This window comes from Homo sapiens, chromosome 16 (assembly GCF_000001405.40).
Source record: "Homo sapiens chromosome 16, GRCh38.p14 Primary Assembly".
Classification (NCBI taxonomy): domain Eukaryota; kingdom Metazoa; phylum Chordata; class Mammalia; order Primates; family Hominidae; genus Homo; species Homo sapiens.
In genome coordinates, this window is record NC_000016.10 from 61645871 (window position 1) to 61672708 (window position 26838).

Here is a 26838-nt window from a genome sequence, read left to right on the forward strand (position 1 = left end):
GGCTCTGTGTCTCTGAAGAACCCTGACTAATACAGTCCCTAACATATCCCATGTAAGAATTTCTACAAAGACTCTTATTTCTATTATCCTTTTCTGTTGTCCATTATTAGAGAAGTTAGGAAGTCAGCCTTTGATAAACAAATTCACTTCTCATCTTCCTAAACTTTGTAATTGTCCCCACGAATTACATAGTTTTCAAGCCAAAAACTCTAGGAGTTATTTTTAGATTCCATCTTCATTTTGAGCATGTAATTCAACTACTGTTACTACCAATTTTATATCCAAAATATATGTGAATTCTGGGTATTTCTTCTATCTGTATTACCACTCCATAAATTCAAGATAATATGTTCCTTGGCTTATGATAAAAATCTTCTATCTAGGTTTCCCACTTTCATTCATGTCTCCTACAATCTGATTTTCATATAGAGCCAGAGTGATTATTTTTAAAATAGAAATCAGATCATATCATACCCCAGCTTTTAGATCCCTTCAATTGCCTTCTCTTTTACATTAAGTAAACATGAGCTTCTTATCTTGGTTGACAAGAACCTGGATAATATGGTCTCTTCCCAGGTTTCCACATCTGTTGCATCTCTTTCACCTTTAACCACTATAATCTGGACCTCATATTCATTCTTGTATATGCCACTGATTCAGTCCAGCAGAACAACTAACATAAACATTCCCAAACCCTTTACTATGGTTTTCCTTGATTACAAAAACTTCACATGGCAACTCAAATATCATTCTGTCCACTGTAAGTAAAACATTTAGTTTCCCATCCATCTGTTTTGTTCTATCGTATCAAGTTTTTTTTATTTCCATTTATTTACATTTCTTCCATTTTACCAGCTCTTTGAAAAAAAAAAAAAAACCTTCTCTGTCTTTTCAATGCTGTATTCCCAGCACCCAAATGAATGGGAAATCTTTGGTACGTATTTCTTAAATAAATAAGGATACTGATTGTTTTTGTAACTTGGAGAATTTCATACATTGAGAAACACAATAATGAAGCCAATTGAGAGATCCCCTCACATCACCATTTATTTTCAGGTGTCAGGACCTCAAACTAGCATTACTTTTTGATACTCCCTGTCTAAGATTTGCTTCCCTCCAGGACTCATTCTAACACAGCCTCAAGAAAGATATCTTGTCTTGGTAGACTTAGATAAATATTCTTTCTCTGTGCTTTAAAAACACTGTCTGCTCAGTTCTTCCACAGGATAGCCAAATCAAATGTTTTATCATTCATTTGCTTCTATAATTTATCTAATTTAATTCCATGTCTTGAAAGGCAAGAGAAGTGTGTTGGGTATATCCTTTTACTGTTACTAGCATAGTACCTAGTATGTATTTTATAGAAAAGAATTTTTATGTTTAAAGCTCTTTCTTAAAGTTTATTTGCAATATCATTATGTATAAATAATTATTATTTATAAATTTTGGCTCTAACATTGAGCCAAAAACATCCATTCACATACTCAACAATCAGACTTGACAAAGATGACAGCTCTCGAACTTTAGAGGTTAAGTTAAAGAAAAATTAGAAAACCATTCGACATATTTGTAGTTAAAGCAGAGTAACGTTGGAAAGGTGGGGGGGGTGATCCCAGTGACTCCTAAATTGTCATGTTCCATCTTAGAGCATAATTGTTAAAATCTTCCTCTTATTTGTGAGGGATCATAGGATGGCCTGAAGTTCTTTGCATGTACAGAAGAAATCCCAAGAAATTAACATTTGGCTTTGGGGGGTGATCCCAATGACTCCTAAATTGTCATGGTCCATCTTAGAGCATAATTGTTAAAATTTTCCTCTTATTTTTGAGGAATCATAGGATGGCCTGAAGTTCTTTGCATGTACAGAAGAAATCCCAAGAAATTAACATTTGGCTTTGGTGACCTCTCATTTCCTTTTCTGGTCCTGACCTCTGAGTTCATTGAAGCCATGGTTTTCCACAGTCTTTCTCTTCAGACAGCATCTTGTGATATTCCTCCTAGCAACCCTCTTCTGTAATCTGTGGATAATAATAGAAATATCTATTATCTATTAGTAGGGATACTTGCAAGAAATAATACTTGCATTCAAGATGTGAATTAGATGGTGGCAGGTAACTCAAGTTGGGGAAATAGTACCCAAAGGCACTATTTTCACCAGCAAATGCCTACTAACCTTGAGACCTAGATGAAACTTCCACACATAAAGGAAGGAGGAGAATACATACAAAAACACTTACAACATTACAACTCAGGAGATGACCCCAAATACCAGCATGTAATTTCTGTTTCTCTCACATATTTGATGTGTAATTTAACCCTGAAAATTCCTTATAACGTTTCTGAACTTCATTTTTCCTATCCATAAAACACTACAATTTGGCAAACCTAGAGTTTCCTATAAGCACCTAATTTCTGGATCTTTCTGAATGTCCAAAAGTGTGCCATTGGTGCTTTTTATAATTTTCCCTTTTAGTATTTGGAAAAGCTGTGATTTCTGTTGCACCCATTCTTGAGTTCCCATCTTTTTGGAAAATTTCACCGTGACGTCTTCTTGAGTCTTCCCATATGGGGTCCCTTACTTCCTCCTCAGTACTTCCATAGCACTATATATAACTTAGTTTCTATTTCTTATCATCAAAAGTCTCATAATTACAGAGATAACTGTTTAGTTGAAAGTTAAGGGGATTTAGTGTCAGATCAACCAAACTTAAACCCAGACTCAAATAGTATTTATCCATAGATAAAAAAAAAATTCAACAATTAGTTCTTATGAGATTGATTAGGTACATTTTATAAATAAAGAAAATAAGTTTGAGAATGCTACTGTATTTAATCTTTCTGTATCAACCATGTAGCTTAATTTCTGTACTGATAGATACTCAATAAATGTGACAGACAAAATTCTTTTTCCTCAGATAGTCCATCAAGTCAGGAAATTTTTAAATTTTATGTCCTCCATAACGCTAGGTCTGTGCTCAAAATACTAGGACTAGAATATCTTCAATAGCAACAGTATACCATGTAATCCATAAATTTGTGTTGACTAAAACTACAATGACAATAAATGTATTTTTAAATGATAGATCATAAAGACATGCTCTTCTACAATTATCATAAGAAGCAATAATTACAAGGGCAAATAATACATTCAACACTGTTTGGCTGAGTAACAGTGCAAAGACACTTTTTATAGCAAATAAAACAGTATTGAAATTGAAAAAATATAGAAAAGTATTTCCTGCAAAGTATATTCTACAATTATTTTGTCCACAAAAAAATACAATGACATTTAAAAAGTCTAAGTACAGCCTCACAACGTGACATATTTAATTCTAATCCCAGGTATTATGAGCCATTATTCTGTTCACAAATAAAAAGCTGCTTTTAAAACCCTTTACCCTCAATTCAACTTCTTTCAAATTCAAGGTTAGATTCATGAAAACAGAGAGCCACAATTTCAATTTGTTGGCAGTGCGTGAGATTATGAGATGAAAAATTAAAACTATAAATTATCCCCAGTAACTGAATTGTGTATATATGTGCATATTTATATATATGAATATATTTATAAATATATGTATAAGGATATATATATTCTTTTTAATGTTGATATTCATGTTTAAGTTGTGCATTTATAGAGCTTTTATAGTGATGCCCGCTGTTACCTTATCTTTTTGACTGACAATGATAGGATTTCAGTCATGCTCAGCCTTTCCGACAGTGCCAGTGATGGGATTTTTTTGAAATCTTATTACTGGTTACACTGCCCTGATCTCAGATGGAACTTTCAATCAAAAAGGCAATCAGAAGGTTATACATTCGTGAGATTCCCTGCAAAGCCAGTGATCGCATAATACAACTTGTTGGAAGGGCCTACTTGCCTTCAGTCCTTATGTGGCTATAAAGAGTAATTGGCTACTTAGCTCTCAGCACCCGCTTTTCCTTTTCCAAAATACAGCATAGCCCAGAACTCTGTTGAGTCTCAGTGTGGAATCCAGCTGCTCCTAGGAGATTTCTAAGTCTCATGCAGAGACTTGTCTTACTTTAAGCATCTGATTAAGCAGACTCTCCCAAAGACACATTTGTATCTTTCTAAGCATTCTTGCTTCACTGGTGATACCAGTAAATCTAAGTTTCCTTTTCTTCTATATATACACATACACTTAACTGCAGATTTTTTTCAAAACAGTTTCACTTTAAAGTTTACACCCTAGAAGTCATAATTCTGTGTGGCAAGGTTAACACTTGAATTTAAAAATAGCATATTTTAGTCATCGTATTATAAATGTTTAGAAACTTATAACTATACTCATAAAAATATTGTTAAGAAATGCCCCCCTTAATACTCTTTAATATTCATATATGGATGTTTAAGAGACACTTTGCTAATATGATTTGATCAAATCATAGGCAGAGTAGAGGCTGAATTGATCCCATGTTGTGTCCAATCACCCAGGGATGCATCAGTTCCCTAGGTGGGAACCTTGAATTGTGAGGTAGGCAGAGGGAGATAACTTTGTCTCACTTGGCTCCAACTTAATCATTCTTCTCTATTTAGCAGAGAGTACTCTTGTTTCTGCTATGTCAATGTTGATGAAACAGACAACAATGCACATAGCTTTAAAAATATAGTCATTTCAATAAAGTTTTTAAAATGTGTTATTTAACAAATTGAGCATGGGATACTTAAATCTTAGAAAATGTTAGGAACCTTATTGATATCTTTTGGTTGGGAAAGTCCTGGCAAGTCTATTGCTAAAGTAAAACTTCAAGTCAAAATGTGTGTTTTTTATTTGTTTGTTGTGTGTGTGTGTGTGTGTGTGTGTGTGTGTGTGTGAGAGAGAGAGAGAGAGAGAGAGAGAAAGAGAGAAAGAGAGAGATAGTTCCTGAGATTTTTAGTTTAATTCATGACACTCTAAAAGTATAGGTCAATCTTATTAGGATCAAGGTATTAGTCACTTTATTCTATGTTACAAGACCTGAAATAGGCTTTTAAACACAAAATGCTGACACTGTGGTGGCAAAGAAAGTCAGCAAGAGATGCAAGCTTTCATTCTGTGTTCCTAGGCAAAGAGAATACTTAGGCGATATTTGGGCAACTAGTAGAGCAGACATTATCTCCTGCTCACAGAAACCACTGTACGAAGATTATCCTGTTGATTACCAATATTTGAGGATACAGATTTTATACTCCTTAAAAAATACTGTAATTATTCTGTTAGACATATTTGTGTGTCTATAATCTTTGGGCACTTCAAAGTACACTAGAAATGAGTCTGGTGTTCAAGAGATACATAAAACATAATAATCTCTCCTTGGTTTGGAAGGTGTAAGATAGTTGGAATATTACTATTGGTTATTACTGCAACTACTACTAATAATTTACATTCACCAAGCACTTGTTTTAGACACTGTGCCAAGTCCTAGTATATTTTAAAGTCATGTTGGACCATCCCTTTGACCTCAAGAAAAAGTGTTCACTAGCCGTAATAATACGCATAAAAGATGACTTATTCTCAGCAACAGAAACTCAATAAAAAGTTGATTAAGCCACCGGATAGTTATAAATTGTTAGTATAGTATTTAAACATGCAGTTTCTGTCACAGTGAAGGTGGCCTCTAGAAGTTGGTGCGTTCAGCTTTTGAGTCAAAAACCGTTCTCTTCTTAGCAGCCCCGCACCAATGACTGAGATGACAGAGGACCACAGCCTGACTGCTTTAATGGATGTGTTTTCACTCTAGAACCCCCTGTCAGACTGGCAGAGATTTTGCCAGGTCCGCACTGCAGTCTAAGACTCTCTTGCCAAATCCTGCTCCCAATCCCTCTATTGTTACAAGTTTTAGGTCTGCAAACTTGTCTGAAGGTTTTCCCTGCCCAATGCGTCTGCTTCCAGAAGGACCCAAATGACACAGCTGGACTAGCCTTTAGGTGTTCCATGTTCCTCTTATGTCCCTGCTGGTATCTTGCTGTGTGATCACTGGCAAGCCATTTCTCTTCTCTGTTTCTCTATAATAAAGAGTCTTACAAACAAAAGTGACCCTTGGGATGATTTGGTTGAGTATTCTAGAATTTTAGTTTGAGTTGATGATTCTGTTAATAGATCTTCCACTGATTGAAAAAAAAATTAATGACAACAAAGGTATTTATAAAAATATATTTCACAAAGTAGGAAACAATACAGGAGTTTCTCTGAATACAATACATGGAGTGAATAAACAATATTGCATTAAAGCAAAGTAGAAAATTAAAATGATCTGCATGTAATACTTGAGTTTTATCATACATTTTCTACTCCTAAATGGCAGGTTTGCATTACAAATTAAATATGCTCACATCTTCTAGTGCTGTTCCTTTTTGGAGTCTAAGACATTCTGTGCATCACCATGAAGATCAGGGATAGGAGTGCTAAAAACGTAAACAGTGAAATTATGTACAAATCAGTTCCTGCTCTAAAACTGTGGGGGTAAATTGAAGCATGTTTATTGGGCAGGGCATGATGTAGGTATCTAAAAGTCTAGAGTTTAAATATTCACAGGAATCAATATACTTTAGGATGTTTGTGCTTGTAGTAAAAACACCAAATACTAGGATTATGAACAAAATAGAAAACAGTCCAAAAGTTTGTCTGGGAAGATGCTGTTCCTGCCATCTCCAGTTACAATAACACTTTCTACTCTAAAGAGACTATTAGCTCTCCTTTCGATAATATTGCCTGCCATACTCATCTCATCAAAATGTACATGTATTAAACATTCATTGTATATATATTTATATAAAACAATCTAAAGGATTATTAATGGATATAATTTAGTTTTTTCCCATATATCCCCTTAATCTATAGATTACCGACCTTAATAAATAAAAGCATTAATGGACATCAATAAAATATTTATTTCGAGGATTAAACAAATAAATTCACGCGCTAGCAATAAAACCATCTGTCTCTTATGTAGTCCACTGTGTGATACAGTTTATCTTTGTGTCCTTGTGGAAGAAGATGAAGAGGAGGGAACGAGGAATCCTGCTTCTAGAAAACAAGCATGTTTGAATGGGATTTCTCTCCTCCCACCACTGAATTGGCAAGCCCCACCCTGGAATGGATTACGAACATGTGAATATTTTAAGGCTCGACACAATATTTAAAGATGCTATTCAGTCTCTAGTGAGTGGGGCCAACAATTATGTACAATGTGTGGTCACCGTACTGTATAATCTAGGAGGCCTCTCAAAACTCCAAAAAGTTATAATGTACAGCAGACCAAGTATTGCTTTATCATTTGTGGCGGGATCCTTATTGGTGAAGGGGAAAAAACCATTTGCATTCATAAAAATCCTTGCAGAAGACACATATCAGCAGCAGATTCCTTGCAGGTCCGTATTTTTTTTTCTAAGAAAGCACCTTTTAATTATGATTTTTTCCTCTATTTAAACCATTTATCTAAGGATTAGCCAGGATCCCAATCTTTGTCTGTGGTGGTCAGGTAAATATCAAATATCCAAGGACTTCTAGACACTCCACATACTTAATTCACACTCCACAAGATTTATAACCTCCTAACATATACTTTTTTATTTTATTATCTTTTTTTGGTTCAACATTAAAATGTGGTTGAGTTTATAGATGACTGGTGCTAAACTTGCCTCTAAAACAAATAGCCACATTGGTTGTATCTAAGGGGAGTGACCCTAGAATATTACAGAATGCTCAGTTCCAGTGATTTATTTATAATCCACTGTCAAGTTTCTTTGTCACTTTCACCAACAGAGTAGAGTTCGCCCAGTCTCTTAAAGCGGGGACCCCAGTCACTGAGGTAGTCAAAATTCTGGTCTGAGTCTGATGTGGTGGACTCCAAGGAGCTGAGGGAGCCAGCCACTGACCCTCGGCCTTCATAGCCATATATCTGAATGGAGTCATATGGCGGGGCCGTGGGATCATTATCTGCCTCATGCAGCCTTACATTTATAAATTCATCGACATCAACACCATTTGGAACTGGAGCAAGCCCTTGCCTTGGCATAAACTGCAAATCTGGTTTAATATCCTTACGGGGTAAAAATCCATTAATTCCATCTGGATTTTGTAAAGTTGCAATGTCAAAAGCCTCTGTGTCCTCCTCCCCTCCTCCTTCATCATCGTAGCGAATGATGTTTTCTCGAACGTCTTCATCATCTTTGATAATTAATGGTTCATTTTTATGCCGCCGTAGAGTTACAAACAGCACCACGATGACTAGAGGAAAAATATTAAATAACAGTCAGCCAAACAAGCATATAATTTCACAAGCAACACACTATATATGTTAGGAGAGAGGGGTATTTTTACAAAATTGTATGAGCATACACCTTTAATAATATTTACTAGAAAATTAAGCTAAACATCTTTCTGAAGGATGAACATTAAATTTTGAGTAAATACTGTTCCAGATTATTGGCTTATTAAATGGTGATAGAGCTGGGTTAAAAGAATTGGCATGCATGTATTCATGGTGAAAGTTACATTTTATGCTTTTATGATCATTAGAGTGAGTGGCACAAAATAGAAAATAGCACTGAAAGTATGACTAGCTTGATATGTGTTTCAAGCAAGTCCTTTAACATCCTTTGGTTCCAAAGCTCCCTTCTATTAAAAAAAAAGGAGTAAACTAGGTCCTTGGGCTTTCACAGTTTTTCAAGGCACTCTCCAATTAAATTATGTTCTTTTATAAAAAAGTGAATGTCAAATTTGCATGGGCAACTTGTCTTGTGGGAGGGCTGGAATGCCTCTAGCTGGGAAGAGAAACCTGAATGTGAGAAAAGGGCAAGGAAAACATACCCAACTAGTCAGATGGGCCAAATCAAATGTGGGCTAATGGAGCAAAATATGTCATCAAAGTGATGCTTAAATCCAAGACACTGGGTGAGAAAGACAGATGGAACAAGAAAGACAGTAACTGATACCGTCTTTATGGTGTTTTGTTCCTCAAGGGTAGTATAAGATACGACTCTCATGTTTTTCTATTTTCCTACTGTATAATCGCATTGTTATAATTGGACTTTTTTAATTAAAAGGTTATAGAATCTTAATTTGCAATCATCATTTTAAATTGATGTTTATATGAAGGAAAATATCAGAGAAATGCAATGGTATTTTGAAGAAAACTTATTTTTAGTTTGCTCATTTGCTTTCTTTTTATATCACCAAATTTGGGATCCGATGGACTCAGCAACCCAAACTACAATGAAACACTATTGTGGACATAGTAGAGCCTGCTGTTGCAGTGAACTGGTGTGCCTCACACCCAGAGTTCTTCTTATGCACTAGATGGTGTTGTAACGACGTAAAAGCCCTTCTCCACTGCCACCACCATTATGCCTTGTTCATCGCTTTATTGGTGATGGAATTGAAAAAGGCACTGAAAGTCCTCTTCATTTGGACATTTACTATCACAACCCTTTTTCTCTTCACTTATTAGAGATCTCAAAATGTGGAGAAGGAAAGGAAGTTCCTCTTCCCCAACGGAATGCTCTTGCCTGTGTAGATCAGAGTTTTCTGTCCTTATTTACAGTCATTTATGAATCAGAAAAAGGGTGACCGGTAGGCTATGAAGGAAATACGTACCTAACAGCAAAATGATGCATGCTAATATGGCAATTAAGGCGCCCATACTGAGTCCAATTGGAAGGACATAAGCTTCGACATTGCAAGACTGGACGACACCGTCATTGCTGCAGCCACAGACCCTGATTGTCAAGGTGCTAGTGCTGCTCAGTGGAGGATTTCCACTATCACTGATTATGATTGGTAAAAGATAGACTTCTTGCTTCTGGCGGTTGAATCCATTATGCTTTGCCAAAATACTGAGGGAATTATCTGAAAAAAGTAAAAATTACAATAATTTGCATCATTTCAAAATGACTCTCCAAATAACACTTGTTTTTCTAGTTCATGAACCCTTTGCAAACCTCAAGACAATCCCGACTTCAAAGGACTGCTCAGGCTTTTTCCCTGACTCGTCTCCGCACTTTTTTTTTTTTTTTTTGAGACGGAGTCTCGCTGTGTCACCCAGGCTGGAGTGCAGTGGCGCTATCTCGGCTCACTGCAAGCTTCGCCTCCCGGGTTCACGCCATTCTCCTGCCTCAGCCTCCCGAGCAGCTGGGACTACAGGTGCCAGCCACCACACCGGGCTAATTTTTTGTATTTTTAGTAGAGACGGAGTTTCACCGTGTTAGCCAGGATGGTCTCCATCTGCTGACCTCGTGATCCACCCGCCTAGGCCTCCCAAAGTGCTGGGGGTACAGGCGTGAGCCACTGCGCCCGGCCTGCGCTTTTTCAATCAGCATGGACCAGGACAACCATAACAGGTTGAATGAATGGGACCCCCTGACGGACCAACGGAGTTTTACCGTCATCACCTTAAAAATGCAAAATATTTCTTTTACAAAAATAATCTTTAAGTGTCCCTTCCGAAGACATATATTATCTCATCTCCATATACCATATATAAGCTTTATTTTCTTTATTTAGCCTGATAATAGGTTAAGCAAATTTGATTGAATAAAATGTCATCATATTTGAAACACATGTTTGAGAAGCTCTGTATTAAAAGATAGACTGTATGACAACACAGTTGCAAAACAATGCACTTTGTTGATTCCCACAAGTACCTAAAAAGAAGGTCATTCATGGCCTAGAGCATTCACATTAAGATACAGCAAAAGCCCTATTTACTACCCGGAGGAGATATGCCACATACATTAAAATTCTGTAGAGAAGATCTATAGTGGTTACATAATAAGAACAAAATGAGAAGTCATAAAAGCATGTGATCCATTTTGCAGGTGTCGGTTAATTATATGGAGATATATACTGGTTGTCTGGAGCAACAGTTAAGCAATACTTAAGAATATACTTCAGTTCAAAGTAAAACTGGTCAGTGAGAAGTGATTGGTCCCACATTAGATACACAGTTCTCAAACTTTCACCCCCAAGTTGAAATATTTTGTTGTCATTCATCCTCATCTCATGAATTGCAGTCACATTGTATATAATAATTGCTAACCTGCTTTCTCATGTTGATTACTGAAAGATATACATTTACTCAAAATGGAAATGCTGATTAACTCTCACTGATATTACAGCCAAAAGCAAATAAACACAATTTTGGTTACTAAGTGCCTAGTGTTATTTGGGCAAAATAATTATTTGTTTTTTTTTTTTCAAATATTGGCCAATTATAGACCCCCGAACACAGGGCTACCTAATCATTGCATGTAATAGTAATGATTCCAAACCATTGCCATCCAATTTCTGATCATCAGTATCCTATTGGTTTCCAAAATACTTAACTAAGTGAGATATCCCATTCAGATGACTTCAAATAAGTTTTGGAAAACTACTGTACCATATAGCACTATACTAGGATTTCCAAAAATTGATAGCCATTCTCCAAAATGGATATATAGTTATATTTAATTTTGCTTTGTTTAAGATATAAACAGGCCTATAATGCTTTTCTAATAAGCAGTCAAATAGAAAAAGCACTCTGATTTAACAATTGTTTTCTGAACTTCTTCTGGTTGTACATCATTATATAGTAATTTGAATATACTGAGAAAAAGAGATTTCTAATGGAGTTAAGCAGTTATATACCAAATGATCCAGTAATCTTTATTGTCATGACCTAGATGGAAATACCAGTAAGCTAAAAGCAAGGAACATTATCTCAAAACAGATATAGAATATATAGTTGTGTTATATTTTCAGAAAGTATGTGACAAGTTTGAGTACAGCTAATTAGTACAAAGAACATTTCTGGATGGTTTTATACATGATAGTTCAAAACAAAAGATAGAATTTGTTCTTCAAGGAACAATTAATAAAACTGAAATGAGGCTATTGTCTTTTTGTGGTTGACATTTCTATGAGAAACAATCTTTCCATATTCTCCTTTTGTAACAGACTATTATAATAATTTAGAAACTGCAGCAGGAATATTGCTTGCTGCAGAACAAAGCTATCTTCTTTACTACTGAGAAAAGCATTGGTGGGTCTAACACTAAATTCATACTTCTATAAATATTTTTTTACTAATCCTGGAATTTGCCTATCTTGCTCTCCTTTCTACACGCAGAAGACTGTTGACTGAGTAAAGAAAATCTATGAGTTATTCTTGCTAAATTTTACCTGCCAGTTCCAGGCAACATCAATTCCTTTTTTACCTACTCATCTATTTTTGTTTTTGTTTTTGTTTCTATTTTTGGATTGGTAATTGTATTTGTTTTCAATTTACTTGAGTTCTTTCATTAGGCTGAATGAAATTGCCATTATTTTACACATCAAAAACCATAGAATATTAGCAGTTTCACAAAGCTCTAATTACTGTTCTTGGAATAATTTTTTATATCTTAAATGTTGTAAATATCTTCTACAAAGTTGTGGTTTCTGCTGTAACACTCATGATGCCTTTTCATTTCATTTAAATTTTTGAATTTAATATAGTTTATTTTGCCAATCTCTTATAATTAGTGTTTTCAAGACTTATTTTAAAAATTCTTAATTATATAAAATTATTTTTTGGTTGTTGTATTAATTCGATTGTTTTCTATACTAAAAATTGAGTTTCTCAATGTTAATTATGGAGTAACTTATAACTTACCTACTGATCATCAAAGATCATTTCTCACAAATGAAATTTTTATGCATCCTCATTCTTTTAAGAGGTCTTTATTCTGTTTCAATAATCTGATTCTCTAACCCTCCATGAATACCCTGTTTCTTATGTATGAAAACTTTATCATAAATCTTGGTGTTGGTTACAGCATTTTCTCATACCGTGTTCTTTAAGAATATTTTGGCTATTATTGTTCATTTGCTATTCTTGGAAAAATATAGAATCAGATTATAAAGTTTTATAAAAATTCCTATAAGAAACTTGGTAGAAGTTATATTGAAATATTAACCAATTTTGAAATAATTACATCTTTATCATCAGTTTTCTATATTAAGAGAGTTATTTCTTAATGTTCTTCAATATATGTCAGTGAAATGTTTTTAGCTTATAAAAATGTCCACATCTTTTGTTAGATTTATTTTTGCTGCTGTATATAGTTTATTGTGATAGTAAACCTGTTTAAAATTTAGTTACCTTTTTAAAAATATATTTTCAACTCACTGCTGCTGGTATATAAAATTTAATTGTCTTATACATTGATTTTAGCTTCAGCAATCTTCTAAGACTTTCTTTTTATTTATAAAAGCGAATCTTATTAGAGAATTCCATTTCAGCATGATAGAAAAGGAGCTCTACAGATGTGCTTTCCAGTGAAACTGGTGAAAATTATAAATGGAAAAACATTTAAAGATTCTGGAAATGGATCTGGAGGCAAGCAGCAAATAAAGAACCATTTATTCAAGAAAATCGACTAGAGCTTGGTAAGAATGGTAAGACTCTGGTGCATGAACAAGAACCCACTCCCATCCTTCCTTGTCTCAGCTCAGTGAGGTAGAAACTTTACTCCAAACTGGTTTAGCCAAGAACACAGGGGTCCCTCTCCCTGCAGCGAGCAGTTGGAGGACGATTTTCTGGGGGAAAGGTGGGACGTCAGACATTCTCATTCTGTTCCTAGTTACTTACTGTTCAAGCTAAGTTCTAAGTCAGTATGGTCAAGAGGCAGGGACTCTTTTCTTCCTCCTGGTCCCTACTCATGGGAGAGAGGCTCTAGCTGGGCACTGTGCCACTGAGAATATGGAGCCTCAATCGCCCTTTCTCTAGCCCACCGTACACTGGGAGAGGCAAGCCAAAAAGACTTGAGGCTATTTTTTCCCCCAGCATCATATGCTCTGCCCTAAGGTTTAGCTGTCCCTCAGAGAAACATGCCATAATCTTCACACCAGCTCCAGAGCCAATAGCTCAGGATTTTGCCCAGGGGGGTGGAAAGCAGGGAATCTTGGAAAGAGAGAGCCTCTGGAGCCCACTTGGGTCAGAACTAATCTGAAACTCTGACCTAGGAAACTATTCTTTCAAAGGAGATCAAATTTGAATGGACTGGTCTGTAGAGTAATTTAGGTTCCAAGGCAGCCTTACAAACAATACAGAAATCCTGTTGGAAATTAGTGGAATTCAACAGCTAGACATGGTCAGGGGAAAAGGCAATCAAGGAGAGCCCTGCCCAAACAATTGTAATTCTAAAGTGACTGTGGACATACCCATGCTTGAGATTCCCTGAAGTGAAACATCATGGGTTTAATACCACAGAGGGGGAAATAGACTTCACTAAAACAACCCAGCCAGTCATTAAACAAATAAGCAAATAAAATAAGCCTTCAGAGGACAGTTCCCAGTTTTGCTATATTATCTAAAATGCCTAGTTTCCAACAGAAGATTATGAGACATGCAAAGAATGAAGAAAATATGACCCACAGCAGAAAAACAGCTGGCAAAAAGAAAAAGCCCATGAGAGGGACAATAAAAAATTAACTAGAGTGACTAAACAGTAGACTTGAATTGGCAAAAGAAATGATTAGTGAACTCAAAGATAGAACAATAAAGAGTACACAAACTAAAGAATAGAGAGAAAAAAAGAATAAAGAGAAATAAGCAGAGCCTCAAAAAAATGTATAACACCATTAAGTGCACCAACAAATGTGCAGTGAGTGTACTAGGGGAAGAGAAGGAGAAAGAAACAGAAAAAATATCATTGAAAACCTGAATTAAAAAAAATAGTCTATACATCCAGAAAGCTCAGGGAACTCCAAGAACACAAACACAAAGATATTCATAAATAGACACATCATAGTGAAAACACGGAAAGCCAAAACCAAGTAGAACATGTTAAAAACAAGAGAAAATTGACTCATCACTTAACAGCAAAAATTTCATAGAAACAATGAAGGCCAGACGGACGTGGGATAACATATTCAAAATGCTCAAGGAAAAAAATTGTCAACCAACAATCATATTCAGCAGAGCTATCTTTCAAAATAAATATGTATATGAAATAAAGATATTCTCGGATGGACAAAAAAATGAGAGAATTTGTCACCAGCAGGCATGTTTACTAAGAAATACTAAAGGAAGTTGTCTTCAGACTGAAAGCAAATGACCCCAGATGGTGACTCAAATCCACATTAAAAATAAAAAGAGTATCAGAGACAATAAGTATCTACTTAAAAAAGACAATATAAATGCATAGTTTTTCTCCTTTTTTGTCTTAACTGTTTTACAAAGCAATTGTATAAAACAATTATGTTTTTCAGCATAAAATATCTATTTTTTGAGCATAAAATATCTAGAAATTAAAAAGTAATAGTGGCATACTCTAATATCTCACTTTCAATAATAAATAAAACAACGAGGCAGAAATCAAGGTAGAAGGTAGAAGACTTGAAAAACAATACAAACTATACCTAACACTGTGGAACACTCAACAACTGTATAATAAATATTCTTGTTAAGTGAACTTAGAACAGTCTGCACTGTGAACTATATGCTAGGCCATAAAACAAACCTCAATACATGATAGAATGATAGAACTAATCCAAAGTAGGTTGTCTGACCACAGTGGAATGAAACTAATAATAGGAAGAAATTTGGGACACTCATAGACATGTAGAAATTAAATAATGCACTCTTAAATAGCCAATAGATCAAAGAAGAAAGCAAAAGGGAAATTTAAAAAAATTATGAAACAAATATAAATAAAGATACAATGAATCAAAATGTGTGAGTTGCAACTAAGTGAGTCCTTAGAGGGAAATTTATAGCTTTAAATATCTGTATTAAAAAAGCAGAAAGCTCTCAAATCAATAACCTAATTTTTCACCATCAGCCATATAAAAAGAAGAGCAAAATAAGCCTAAGGCAATCAGAAGAAAGGAAATAAGGATTTAAAGAGCAAATTAGTAAAATAGGGAATAGAAAAATATATCTGATCATATTGGGGGTATTTCTATATAGTCACACATTCTCTGCAAATAAAGGATTTTATTCATTCCTTTTCAAGTATTATTGTTTTCATTTTTTAAAAAAAATCTTAGTACACTAATGAGAACTTCTAATACAATTTTGAGTACAAGAAGTTATAGTAGGCACCTTTACTTTGTTTCTGATTTTTTTAAAAAAGAAAAAGCCTTTTGACTTTCAACAATTGGGAAGAGGATCAATGGTGTTTCTTGGAAGATTTTTTAATTGTCTGTTTACATGCACTCTTTTTTTTTTTTACTTTAGTTTTACTTTAGTTTTTTTTTTTTTTTTTGGTTAATTTGTTTGTTTGTTTTATTTGCTGTCAATAGTGTAAAAGGAAAGAACAGTCATATAAGTGATAGTATCTTGGCTGTTCACTACCTCTAAACTTGGCTTCAATTTTACTCATACGTTATTCAACAATCTTCTTTTCAGTCTTTCATGTTTTCATTGTGTATCATCTTCTTGTCTCTGAATCTTAGCCTGCCCTCTCCCCTTATAGCTTCCGCTTATTGTTTTTATTGCATTTGTTTTATCTTTTTGAGCAGAGTAAACAGAGAGTGTGTCCTAATAATGAGATGTTAGATACAAGAGAGAAATTTTTCTAGAAGTAAAAAATATATGAAAAAAGAGAGGAAATGATCACTGAATCCATAGTTACATACTACATTATTTTAAAAAAAGAAATCTCTTGAAGTTGAGGGTAAAACAACAGTTTCCAAAAGATAGAAGGATATGCTGACAAGATCAATTTAAGAAATGGGCCGATCAGTATCAATTGCAATTCTCTAGTGGATAGAAAATACTTAAAAAAATAAAGAATAACAATATAATAATTAAAACAATGCAAATTAAAAATACAATCAACTATATCTATATATAGTAACTATATTGCATTAGGTATTATAAGTAATCTAGAGGTGGTTAGACGTATATGGTAGGATGTACATAGAGTATGTGTAAATACTATGCCATTTTATGTAAGAGACTTTGTGCACCCATGGATTTTGATATCCACAGGAACCAATCCCCAGTCTATACCAATAAGCAAATGTATTCATATTCCCCATCATTTCTCCCAGTTAGGGATTTTCCTGTTTCCTCATTCTTTTGTAATGCTTTACAGATAAATAATATACCAAGAAAAAAGAAAAACTCAATTTTCAGGAGCTTGCTTTATTCTTCATACCCAGTTGTTTATGACTGACTTTTGTACAAAAGATCTTCATGGGGACTTAAAGTGGGCTAAGAGCACCAGTCATGCATCCAATGACAATATTCCTAAAGTGGTAGTAGAATTGAGTTTCCTTCTCCTTGGCTGAGAAATACAAGGTATGTGCCAAGTAAATAGTAAAGAAGAGACCAAATGAACAAGAGCTCTTTTCAAGTACGTAGACTTGCTTAGTTTCAGGCAGCAGAGTACAGTTATGTAAATATGTATGAACTTTTATTCAGATTATGATAACAGATTGATTATGAACAAAAATATTTAGTTTTATTCTTAGTTTTGTGTAATTGTGTTTTTCAAGTAATTTGTTAGGTTTTTACTGAATGTTATGAGACAATGCTAAAGGCAGTCATCTTACAATTAATCCTTTATAATGTTTATGCATTACTCTTGTGAAGTTTTAGAAAAAAATAGATACTGTTAAATAAAATGTATATGTTTTATTTCATTAAAATATAAGCCCCTTGAGGCCGACTTGCCTTAGTCACAGTTCTACTCCCAGTCTGTAGCACAGGACTTGGCATAGAGCAGGAATCCTCATAACATTGGTACCATTGTTTAACCCACTTCTATTTGGAATGGTTTCAGTTTTAAGGAACTGAACACCTAACTGATTCATTAGAACTAAGAAATATTTTTAAAAGTTAGAAAATGAGACAGCAATGAATATCTATCTGTCTGTCTACATACCTAACTACCTATCTATCCATCTCTCTAATCTTATAAGAATTCCTGTTACCGAACAAAACCAAAATTGAGTAAACACATTATTCTGGAAAAATTATATCAAATAGAAATGGATAATAGATAAACATGTATAACTATATATATGTGTGTGTATGTGTGTCTTGAGGGGGAGGGAAACAAGGAAGAGAGAGAGTACATTTAGAATTTCTGCACTTGATTACACATTAGAGATTTGAGTTTCTTCCCCCAAGGTCTGCATGGTTTAGCCTCTGTCTTGTTCTCCAGCTTCATGTGCTGCCACTCTTCTTTCTCTGTATGTTCCAGATATCCTGGCCTTTTCTGAGTCAAACATCTTCCCTCCTCAGGGCTTTCATATTTGCTCTTTATTCTGCTTGATAATCTCTCTACCTCCCCTTAGCCATAATTTGAATTGTGAAGATGTATGTATTCTTTATATCGATGCTCAAATATCACTTCTTTCTGTATAATTTCTTTCATAAATTGTCCCCAATATCTCCAGATAAATGAGTTACATGATGTTACAAAAATCTTTATATTTTTATCAAAACACTATTACAAAGAAATGATAGAGTAACGGAGATAAGACAGACATTAGAGGTACAGAAATAAACTCAGAAACTTCCGAGTAACAAATAACCAATTGCAGATGCATAATGAGTTTTCAGCAAATATTTGCTGAATAAATAAATGAATAAGTAACCATAAGCTATATTTTGTGGGCTTAAATTTATTTCCCTTCATGTTATTTGTTGTAAATAGTTATATGTGGTTTAAAATAAATCAGAGAGAGGGAGAGTTCAATTTCAGGCTATTGGAAAGCATATATATCCTGGGTTTGTGTATGAAAATTTAAGAGAAATATTGATGGTTTCCAAGCCTTTCTCTGGGCATGACTCATATCATGAAACATGAGCAATAAACTGAGGGCGCTTAGGTTCAGATAGAAAGAGGCTTTAGAGAGGAAAAAAAATCCAACTTTTATTAAAATATTGAGAATACCATCATGTTAAAGAGGTGCATACCAGAATTCTATTTTACTGAAGTGAAATTGGATATATTAGTCCTATATTCAGAGAGGGGCACACAGATTGAACAATTATCTCCTATAGTTAGTCAAGGAGAAATTTCTTCTTTGATTATTGATATTTCGTCCTTGAAGCATTTGGAGTTGGAAATCAAGGGATATTCTTTCACACAACATTAATATAACATATCATTTTTCTTGTAGCAAACAAGGAAGTATTCGTTATCAACTAAATACGTAAATAATTCTTCTGTTGAAGCTATAACCCTCAGTTTGCCTGCATTTGGAGATGGGGCCTCTACAGAAGTAATTAAGGTTACATAAGGTCATAATGGTGAGGCTCTAATCCAAGAGAAATAGTGTCCTTATAAGAAGAGACACTAAAGACCTTCTGCTAGCTGTTTCTCTCTGTGGGCACACAAAGAAGAGCTCATGTGGGCTCAGCCACATACAAGCAAAGAGAAGATCCCTCAGAATGAAAACTACCTTGCATACCCCACACTTACAGTCCATGAAAAATTAAAAAGTCTATTTAAAGAAAGTGTGGCACATATACTCCATGGAATACTATGCAGCCATAAAAAAGAATGAGTTCACAAAAAATGAGTTTCTGAGCAAACTAACACAGGAACAGAAAACCAAACACCGCATGTTCTCACTCATAAGTGGGATTTGAACAATGAGAACACATGGACACAGGCAGGGAAACATCACACACCAGGGCCTGTCAGGGGGTGGGGGGCAAGGGGAGAGAGAGTGTTAGGACAAATACCTAATGCACACAGGGCTTAAAACCTAGAAGACAGGTTGATGGGTGCAGCAAACCACCATGGCACATGTATATCTATGCAACAAACCTGAACGTTCTTCACATGTATCCCAGAACTTTAAGTTTAAAGAAAAAAAAACAGATAGACTGTGCCTATCTGGATAACTCTTCACTTTTATCTGTGTAATTTATCCCACAGTCTGAATTTATTTTCCTTCCTTCCTTCCTTCCTTCCTTCCTTCCTTCCTTCCTTCCTTCCTTCCTTTCCCTCCTTCCTTCCTTCTCTCCTTCCCTCCCTCCCTCCCTCCTTCCTTCCTTCCTTGCCTCTTTCCTTTCTTTTATTTCTTTCAGTTATAGTAGTCCTCCCTTATCACAGTTTCATTTTCCATGGTTTCCGTTACTCACAGTCAGCCATAGTCTGAAACTATGAAATGGAAGATGCCAGAAATAAACAATTCATAAATTTTAAATTGTGCACTGTTCTCAGTAGCATGATGAAATCTTTCTCTGTCCCTCTCAGTCCCACCTGGGATGTAAATCGTCCCTTTTTCCGGCATATCCATGCTGTATGTACTCCCTGCCCTTTAGTCACTTAGCAATAATTTTGGTTCAGGTTGAAAAAACACAGCACATACTCTGTGTGTGTGTGTGTGTGTGTGTGTGTGTATATATATATATATGTATATGGTTTGGTATTATCTGTGGTTTCAAGCATCCAGTCTGGGTTTGGAACATATCCCCTGCAGATGAAAAAGGGAAATACTCTATTCTCTTTGTATGTTTAATAAAACAGGATTGGCCATTATTATTACTGTTAGTGTTTAAATATCTCAAGTTCTTTCCACATATTTTTTAGATAGAATAAAACAGGCAAACCCAAATTCTCTATTTGTTTTAGTGTACTTCATCTGTTGCCCTGATACAGAAATGTTACTTTGGACTAGATCCTATTTATTTAAAATTATTGAGCTATGACTTTTGGTTGTCCTTTTAGATGCAAACAAGAAGAAAAAGGAGGCAGAGTTAATGAAGGCACTTGCCAGGCAAATATTTATGGCAAAATAAATAGATGAAGAGAAGATCAGTAGGTATTGTGCCTTGCGAGAAATGTTGCCTGACATTTGACTTGCAAATTTATTTCAAATTTTCTTGGTTAAGTCAAATGAAATAAAAATGATAAGAAGGTCAAAACAAAGAAAAAAATGCCACTGTGTTTAGTAGGTATGGACAAGAGATTTAATTAAGTTCTTATCACCGTGTTGTGTCTGTTGTTTATTTATAAAAACCCAGCAAAGCAATAAAAATACCAAATCCAGAAATTTTCAGCATATTAGAAGGATATATGTACAGTAGTATCCAATATTTAGGAATATGAACAAATATTATAGCATCCACACTTCATTTATACCTTTCTACTCTAAATAATGAGTCTTGTTGGAAACAGTTGCAGTGTAATGAATTAATAAAAACTAAGTCTTTGTGAAGCCAGTCTCCTTCAGTACCATTATAACTTCCTACATAATTAATTGAAAGTGTACCAACATACTAAATCTGCCACGAGCAACTGGATATTCTAAGCCACCTAATTAGATCGTTGGCTTATTTGTGACTGCTTTCCATTTTCTCATTAGATTTTCTGTCATGCCACCTGATGTCAATAATCTCCATTTTTTTGGAGTGTTGACTCATTACCAAATATTATAATATTTAGTAATGTGGTATATCTAGCCATAAAATATTGGAGCAAGGTCCACTTTGGCTTTGGAAAAAAAAAATCAACATCATGGTGGATTCCTGTGGAAGTTCCTAGACTAACACCAAACTGAATGTTTACCCAACAATTTACAATTATACACAAAATGAATTAGAACATTTTAATACAGAAGATCACTTGGCAGGCTCTTTCTGCACTGTAACCATCTAGCAGTAGAGTTCTGTAAATATCTGCATGATTGTCATTTTGGAGTGAAAATGGACAGAGAGTGGGCTGTGCTATTCACTTTAAAAAACCCAGGAGTCATCAAGTGATCTATGAAACTTAAGCAGAGAATGGATTCTCCTCTAGAGTTTTTGAGGAGAGCATGGCCCTGCCCACACCTTGATTTCAGATTTCCAGCCTCCAGAAACTCTAAGAGAATAAGCATCTGTTGTTTTACACTTTCCAGTTTGGGATTATTTGTTACGGCATCCCTAGAAAATAAATGCAATAAGAAAATCTGATTACATATATTTATGATTTACTGAGTCACAGCAAGGCATTCTTATTCCCATTTTACTTATGAGGAACAAAGTTTTTGAAAGATAAAATGAGATGTTCAAGGTTTCTCAGCTGGAGGCTAAAAATTACAACCTAGTTCAGTGTATTTTCTACACTCTGCCTTTGTCACCTTAACAAAAATTACCTCAAAAAACAAGGGAACATAGACTCTAAGACATTTTTATTAAAGCTCAAGGATAAGAGAAAAACATATATGGAGGGAAGTTTTTCCATGTTATGACACCTTTATTAGAGACAACAAAAAGCGAAGTGGACAAGGCAACTGGTGGACAAGAGTATAGTATTTGATTAAAAATATATCCAACACTATACTCTATAGATCTAAATTCCATACTTTGAGCCTCAACGTAACGGAGCATAGCATACCATAACACAGCAGAGCAGAGCATAACCATGAATTAATTATGAAAAAGTTATCATTTTTGGTATGAGAGAGGAATGCAAGTATCACAGAATCCAAGTTGCATGCTAGATTCAATCACAGTGCCCAAGGTCTGGTGTGTTTGATGATTTTTTTCTCTGCTCTTAATTAGTATGCTTGCTCTTACTCAAAATGCTCCACGCACCTTTTGCAGATCCCTTAATGCTCAGAGGAAAGGCAGGTTTATTCCACCTCAGGCATTGGGGAATGAGGGATGAAGACTAATATTACTTTCATTTTATCTGAGGAATGCTTGCATTAACTAACCCACTAAAGTGAAAACTATTCCAATAAACAATTTCTATTGTGTTTGAATGAAAATTTTAAAGCTTTTATAAATATCAACAGATCTAGAAAGAATATTTTATCTATTTGGATTTATGAAGAAGGGTAAAAAATGCATTTTGTCAGCACATAAACCACTTAGGAAAAAAAAAAAACAAACACACACCAAGGCCTTTAGTGGAATTTCTTGTGACAATTTGAGAAAACAACCTAATAGCAGGTAAATATCCAGACATTAGAAAGCTTGCATTATCAGAAGAGCAAATTCCCTACCATGTCTCTATGAATTGAATAGGTGCCTCTAAATATTTAAGAAACTGGAAAAAGACAGATTAATTCATTTTGTACTTGAGCTTATAAATGTGTGCTCATTAACACATTTGATATAAAGAGTAGTTGAGCCAAAGAGTAAAATTGTTTTAAAGCACTAGTTTAAGTGAAGTACACAGTGTTTTCAAAATATTGAAATCTTTAATACTGTGAATAGAGAGCTGAAGATATGAAAGAAACTATAGTACCAAAGGTAGTGTGTTTTCTAAATAACTTGCTTTGATTTGTAGGTCAAATATCCCTGAACATAATCATTTTGTTGAATCTCGTGATCTCCCTGAAGATTTTGCATTCACACATATGAAAATAAGACATAACGTGCTTCATCAGGCAAGCCACCAAATGTAGTACAAATCCAACTTTCCTTGCCATCAGCTATACCTCCATCTTAAATTCTTTCAAGTCTACTTTGACACATTTAATTAATTCCACCTTCAGTTATTTAGCATCTGCTATCTATAAGACGTCACTGGCACAGGAAAGTCTTCCTCAACACACATCCCACCCAGCATGCCGCAATACAGTGGTGTGTGTTGCTTTTCTGTTTCACCAACTGTAAGATCTTTGGATGCAGAAAGTTTGCCTTTTTAGTACGTGCATCCTAGAATCTGTTATATGTGTCACTATAAAGAAATCTCTATGGTAAGATTTCAATTAATCCTTGATGAAGGAACAGATAGATAGTTCGGTAAGTGAGGAAAATGATTACGCATTTCAAGAAACTTCTTACCCAGAAGGAGAAAACAGACTCTAACTAGTCAAAATATCAGTCAGTTGATGGTTTATCCTCTTGTGGTGATCCTTGCCTTTCTAGTCTCTGCTCCCATACACTGTGGTCCGCTATGCCATTTGTATCTCGATTTAAATTTCTACCATCAGATACGAATGAGAGAATGCCTTAAGAAAGGAGTGGCTCAGTCAAGAAGAAAAAGCTAGTTTGTTACCGGGACAAAACACAGAGAACAGCAGTCCTTCATCTCTCTGCACCTCCCATCTTTCTGTTCTATAACATTTTCTCGTTAGCGTTTTTCTCTAACCTCTTTACAAACTGTTAACCTGATTTGCATTCTGATTTCAAATAACAAGCTATGTTTCTTTCTAAAACTTCAGCCTTATGACTCTCCCACTTACCTATTAAGCAAGTGTGCCTGGATGTTCAATATCTCAGATTCAATCGTTCAATAATGGAACTAATGATATTGATTGCCTATTTTTTCCCATCTCCTACAATCTCTTTCTTGGTTATATTTCGTGTACTATCTTTGTGATTCTATGATTTTGTACATATCTCCCCTTCCATCCAATAAACTCACTTCTTCCTTACAAATGTAGAAAAGTCCTATCATTCTTCAATAGTTAGCTGAAAATTTACTGCTTCCTTTTGGGAAGAGGCAGCAGGAACAAACAGCCTGAGGATTTTGTAATATCAAATTCAGAGATGTAATGGAGATTTGATTATAAAGTAAATGTAAAGTAGATATAATGGTGCTGTATTTATTGTTGAATAAATACATAATAGGCATAAATGAATATGAGAGGGTGAATGTGTAACAAGAGATTCAAAATAACAAGCAGTGTCTTGAGAAGTCCTGAGTGTATCTAACCCTACACAAATGGAATGCAATGAGAGAAACATATATCACTGATCTTGAACTTATTATTACACTAATTTTTAAAAATTTTAAAAATTTTAAAAATTAAGTCCCTACAAATATATACACAGTTCAAAACACCACGTTGTACCCCATAAATACATAGAATTATTACTTGTTGATTAAAATGTTAAAAATAAATACCTATACATACTAAGCTCTGATATACAGTAGTCTTCTCTAATCTGTGGGATATCCATCCCAAGACCCCAGGAGATACATGAAACCATGGATAGCATTGAACCCTATATTTACTGTTTTTTTTTCTTTTATCTGATTACCTACATAGGTAGTTGGTGACTAAAGGTGTGGACAAGCTTGACAAAGAGATAATTCACATCCCCAGCGAGATGGAGCAAGGCTGCATGAGATTTTATCACAGTTCTCAGAACAGTGCACAATTTATAACTTATGAATTGTTTATTTCTGATATTTTCCACTTAATATTATCAGACCAAGGTTGAAAGCAGGCAACTGAAACCTCAGAAAGCAAAACTATGGATAAGGGGGAACTATTGCATCTGATCCACCTTGCCAATCCAAATTTCAACCCCATTACCACTTGGGTCTGAGCATATATTCATATAAACTGATGCCAAGTGAAAAAAAAATCCTGCAGTAATTCAGTTAAAAATATCTGAGCATATTAATAATGCATATTCTTGGATTTTACTCTAAATCAACTAAATAAGAATTTCTGGGGATGGGCCCTGGGTATCTGCATTTCAAACAAATGTTGTTGGCGTAAAGATCTTCTGGGATGCCTGATAGCCCTTTCACCGTATTCCATTTCTTCCCTTAGGTGTTAGCAGTGGTTAATGGCTTGGATCAAGCCGTCAGAGGCTCCACTGGGGAAGCTATTATGCTCTGGATTGTGTGGTCCAGCCAGGGTACCAGCTGATAGCAATTTTCCTGCATAATTCCTACTTTCCTGGTTTAGTGGTAAAATAGCTGCTAAAAAAAAAAAAAAGGAAATGATGCAAGGAAATGTGGTATCCTACAGTGAGCTAAAGTCCAGTGTTTGTCCTTGAATCATTTTAAAGTTTAATATGTGATATTAAAACAGCCTGTCTAAACATATATCTTTGGGCAGAAGTCTTAATACACAGTGAAGGCAAGAGAATGGAAGGCAGTTATGTAGATAAAATTATCATTCAAGCAGTGGACACATTATCATTCCTCCCAGGTTGCTGAGAACGGCATGTGCTTTTGAATCTTAAAATCCACATTCTTCCTAATATTGGAAATAGTACTGTTTTGATCACACAAGAATGACTTTACATTAAGGTCAAACTGATTTACTTTCCCTCAAATTCACCCACATATGAACAGGTTAAAATACAGATGGAGAGAGCAGAAACAAATGATTGAAAAAAAAAGATACCTGTGTAGGTCACCCTTATGATTGAAACAGAAATCACATCAAACTCATTCAAACTCTTTTTACTGAAAATGTAATCTGATACAATTCCCTTTTGTTGTACACTATAGAGAAATCTAAATACATTTTGAAGTCATGCATTATTTCATTTTAATACTTTCTTTTAAAATAAAAGGGATTTTTTTTGAATGAGTCTTATAAAATATTCTCAAGATGGTATTTGATTTTCTAAGCTTGCCATCCCTAGTTGATAATGGATGTGTGGTACTTCCTGGTAGTGGGTAGTGATATAAAGATGTCCACCATCAAATTCTTCACACTTTAGAATCAGAAGAGTTATGCTTAACAAATCCAGAGAATTTTAGGGAATTTGTTCCCTTTCAAAATTCTGATTATTGAAAGGCTTATATTAGGTGCAATTTCTTTATGATGCATATTTCAGAATATTTTTGAATATCATAGTAGACAGTGCCCAGGCTCTGGAATCATTTTTATTTGCATACCAATCTTATTACCTATTTGGTTGCATTTTAAAATAATTTTTCCAAGGTAATACCAGATATTTTGACTGTGTTCACATTACTAATTAAGGAACTGAAGATGAAAAAATCTTTGAGGAATACATTTGTTATTCCACCTAAAGTGTTCTTTCAGAGTTTTTCATGTGTAAAATATTCAATAAAACTTAAACTAATAGTAGTTATTATTACCATATGCAAGATTATCAGTTATCTCAGCTTTGAAACAAAGCAGAAAGCTACAATCTTTTAAGAATGTTTGGATTCCACACTTTCATACTTTATAATAAATTTTTATTTGG

General features: G+C 34.7%; 1 protein-coding gene across 3 annotated transcripts in view; it reads right to left on the bottom strand.

The window, feature by feature from the left end:
* Positions 1-1379: 1379 nt before the first annotated feature.
* CDH8 (cadherin 8) overlaps positions 1380-26838 on the bottom strand; it is a 389189-nt gene continuing 363730 nt past the window's right edge. Inside the window, exons 11-13 of one of the 3 annotated variants that reach the window (XM_005255760.5) lie at positions 9600-9851; positions 8049-8231; positions 1390-2018 (exon numbers count right to left, since the gene is read on the bottom strand). In XM_005255760.5, the coding sequence (XP_005255817.1) occupies positions 1972-2018; positions 8049-8231; positions 9600-9851 (482 nt within the window). In that variant the 3' untranslated portion in view covers positions 1390-1971. Of the gene's footprint in view, positions 8232-9599; positions 9852-26838 lie in introns of those variants that run through there. The other 2 variants (NM_001796.5, XM_047433482.1) reach the window with 2 other exon arrangements.